Source organism: Homo sapiens, chromosome 4 (genome assembly GCF_000001405.40).
Source record: "Homo sapiens chromosome 4, GRCh38.p14 Primary Assembly".
NCBI classification, from domain to species: Eukaryota; Metazoa; Chordata; class Mammalia; order Primates; family Hominidae; genus Homo; species Homo sapiens.
Window position 1 is genome coordinate 80,142,561 of NC_000004.12, and position 3,914 is coordinate 80,146,474.

At 40.1% G+C, this 3,914-nt stretch overlaps 1 annotated feature.

Annotated features, from left to right (window-relative positions):
• Positions 739-1,159: a transcriptional cis regulatory region, noted in NCBI's record as "candidate enhancer chr4.2004 targeted for multiplex CRISPR interference". NCBI's record gives its function as "positively regulates ANTXR2 gene expression with high confidence in K562 cells {active_cell/tissue: K562}" and the evidence as "EXISTENCE:mutant phenotype evidence [ECO:0000015][PMID:30612741]".

Sequence of the window (3,914 nt, forward strand, 5' to 3'; positions counted from 1 at the left end):
TCAACAGAATTGTAAAACTCATTTCAGTTCAGTAAACATTATTGAGCAATCTTTGTGTGCACCCTCACCATTTCTCAAAATGTGCATTCCTGTGATTTTTTTTCTCTATGATTTAGCAGCTTCTCAGTGATAAAGTGCAAAGGCTTTTCACTCATGCCTGTTTAAAACTGCTTTTAGGTAAAGAAAGAAAAATCTGTATGGAATGTCTCCAAACTCATCAACCATTGTTAGTATTTGGGAAGCACATCCACCATCTCTAACACTTCTCCTAAATACAGACAAATATCTTTACTTTTATAATTTCTACCATTTCCTCTACCAACCACTATCCCCCTACTCTTTCTACATTTTAAGGGGTAAACATTGTTATATACACAGAAGATAGAATAAACCACATATGCAGTGACATGCATGTGTGAGTGTGTGTGTTTATATGTATAGTTGGGTAATGTTTTTTGCATACCTTCTGTGGCAAACATTGTTATTTGGCTGAGCCAATATTCACTCCTATCCTCATTTGCTCTTGCTGCTTCACGTGGTAGCAGGTAGGAAAACTAAATTCTCACTTGAATGATCACCAGCACAATTAGGCCATGTGACATCATCTGGAAAATGAGATAAGAGTTGCTAAATCTACTTGCAATTGAATCTTTATTTTAGAATATTTTTCTGGAGGAAACCAAAGTAAGGCAACAACGGAAAGGTGATAGCTTTTGTAGTACCCTAGCAACACAAAAAGCCTTACTTATGGTGAATTGGGATGAACTACAGGTGAAAGAGGATATGTGGTATGTGCAACATCTCAAGGGTTTGAGAGTAAAGGAAAAAATAAGATCTGTGGAGGTGTTTGTGTGTTCTTGTGCCATAAAAGTGGCAAAGGAAGATAAGAGTAAATCACAAAGTCAGATCACTCAACTATCAACTCAGAACACAGTGTGGAAACCACTGGTCTGGTGTGACAGTACTTAAAGAGACCCTTATCTCCAGCAGCCAGAGGACAGACTCTGCTAAAATTAGGCTATGGATTTTACTGGGAAAGTAAAAGTTACAAATAAGGCTAACTGTACAATCCATTAGCGATTCCCTATGTTACAGTCCTGGCCCTGATAAGAAAAATAGAAAACTAAAATTTAAAATAAGAATATCTGAGTATATACACATGAATATATTACACCACTAAATCTCCCAACACTTTTTAGTTAGCAGAAGCAACTTTTGGCTCTTGGGCAGAGAACAGCCTTTCCTTACCTGGAGACCATGAAAAGGCCCCATCTGAGGCAGGTGCCCCACAAGATGATATCTGACCTTCTGAAGATCTGCTCCCATTTCTGCTCATGGCTTCTAGATAAGTGTTTCTCAAACTATAACATGGATCTGTATCGCCTGGAGGGCTAGTTAAATCATGGGTTACTGAGTCCTCATCCCTAGATTTTCTGATTCAGTAGGCTTGGGATAGGACTTGGAATTTGCATTTCTAACAAATTCCCAGGCAGTACTCCTGGTCCAGAGACTGTGCTTTGAGAACCACTGCCTTAGATCAACAATCAGAAATAACTTTCAACCTAACCCTGACTAGGGAAGTACTATATCTGGTATAAAAGAAAAAGATTACCCCCAAAACCATGGAAGCTGAGGCCGGGTGTGGTGGCTCACGCCTGTAATCCCAGCACTTTGGGAGGTTGAGGTGGGTGGATCACGAGGTCAGGAGTTCAAGTCTAGTCTGGCCAACATGGTGAAACCCCGTCTCTACTAAAAATACAAAAAATTAGCTGGGTGTGGTGGTGTGCACCTCTAATCCCAGCTACTCAGGAGGCTGAGGCAGGAGAATTGCATGAACTCAGAAGGAGAAGGTTGCAGTGAGCCAAGATTGTGCCATTGCACTCCAGCCCAGGCGACAGTGTGAGACTCCGTCTCAAAAAAAAAAAAAAAAAAACCATAGAAGCTGACAAACTTGTATTCAGATCATGACCAAAATGAATCTGTGGGCATAGAGTAGCAAGGGGCAGATATAAAGCTGTTTAAGAGAGTGTGTTGATCTATAGACACTCTTCCATGATCAGGACCCTGGGAGCAAAGATGCTTTGAGCCAATCTTATCTTGCTGCTGGGATAGTCCTTGAAGCATGAAGATGATAATGGCCTACAATAAATGAGGTAGAATTGCTAGAATTGCCTTGGTAGAGTATTGATGATGGGGCCAAAATCTCATATTATTACATATGACAAGAGAACCCACCAGTCATATTCCACAGGAGGGCTAAGAGGATACTTCCTTTATTAAAGCACATCATAATTTATTTAGTAATGCACTCATTGTTGGCTTTCTTTCCTTCCTCATCTCACTTCCCCACTCCCTTACCAGTGTTTCCACAGATTATCTCCCAGATAAGCTACTTGCACTCAAATGTTTGTTTCAAGGGAGGAATACATATTAAGATATACAAGTAAGCAGAGAGGAAAATAAAAAGTTTATTTCCTTTCTCATTTAGGATTCTGGCATGATCATCACCTACATTGCCTGTCATTAACAAAGGATGTCCAGGAGATTAGAATCTGTCATGTGCCCATTAGGCACAAAGAAAAGACCAGGAATAGCACCTGCTGAGTCTTTCTCTTGTGAGGTTTGTAAGAGATTTAGAAATTCTCATGTGAAGTAAATGAGTTAAGAGCCAGATGGCCAGCTAAGGGGGATGAGAAATGTGGTGGCATCATTGTTGAAACTGCTGAGGATTGGTAATGCTGCCAAGACTTAAGGGGGAGGCAGTTCTGTAAGTGGAGGATCCCTGTTCACTGGCCATGCCAAGAGGCCCCACCACAAGTTTCATCAGATGCAGACTTTAGCAGGTGATTCCAGAAGGGTGCCTAGTTGACTATGAGGGACAAAGAACATTTCCCAGAAGCCAGGGAGAACCTAAAGCCCATTTGAGATCAAGCCTACTCCTCCTATGACCGAGAAGACCTATATGCCCTCTTGAATTCAGATGTTATCTTTCAAGCAGAATAGAAGAAGGAATTCTCAAAGAAAGCTGTACTTTGAGATGTCTGAGTAGTTATATTTGATAGGACTGTTTTAAGCCAGAAAAGACTGAGATAATTTTAACTGGAAGTTTAAATTCTGCCACTGCACAATCCATACCATCCAGCACAGGGGGCTCCAGAGGAAGTTTTTACATGAATATCACCTCCACTATATACAGATTTAATGTGTTCAAAGAAATAAGTGTATCCATGCTTTTCTTCACTTGTTATGGGAAAAATGCTTTTGATAAGTAATTTATTTTAAAATGTAGCCCTTGAATATTCCAAGAAGTGCATGTGTACACAGAGACTTTCCAGAGATGTAGAGAAAGAAAAAGGCAAGGGCATCAGCACAGCAGGCTGCATAGACAAAAAAGTCCTTGGGATGCAGCCAGCTGCACTGACCTGAGACCAGGAAAGAAGTGGGGCCATGAGCTAGAGAATTCCAAACCCCAGGAAACCTGAAAGCAGGCCAAAAATGGATAACAACCTTCTCTGTCCCTTTTCCTCTCTCTGGAAACTCTTGTCCTCCCACTCACTTCTCGTGTATCTATCCTATGTCTTCTCTTACCAATTCAGCCACTCTGAACCAAAATATTATTAAGAAAGATAATCCCACATAAAAGGGAACTCTAGATACTTTAGGCCTAAAGAAATTTGTTTAAGAGAAAAAAGTAATGTATATTGAAATCATTAAAATATATTGAATTAAATATTACAAAATGGGTCCTGATACAGCAACCAGAAAAAGCAATGTGAGGATCTCAGAAGTTAACTTGCTCACACAACTGTGAGACTGAGCTTCAAATCCATGTCAGTGTTACAACGCCTTGAATCACAACTCTATAGAGGACTTTACAAAGCGTATATAAAAAATGGTATTGTTATCAGAAATCT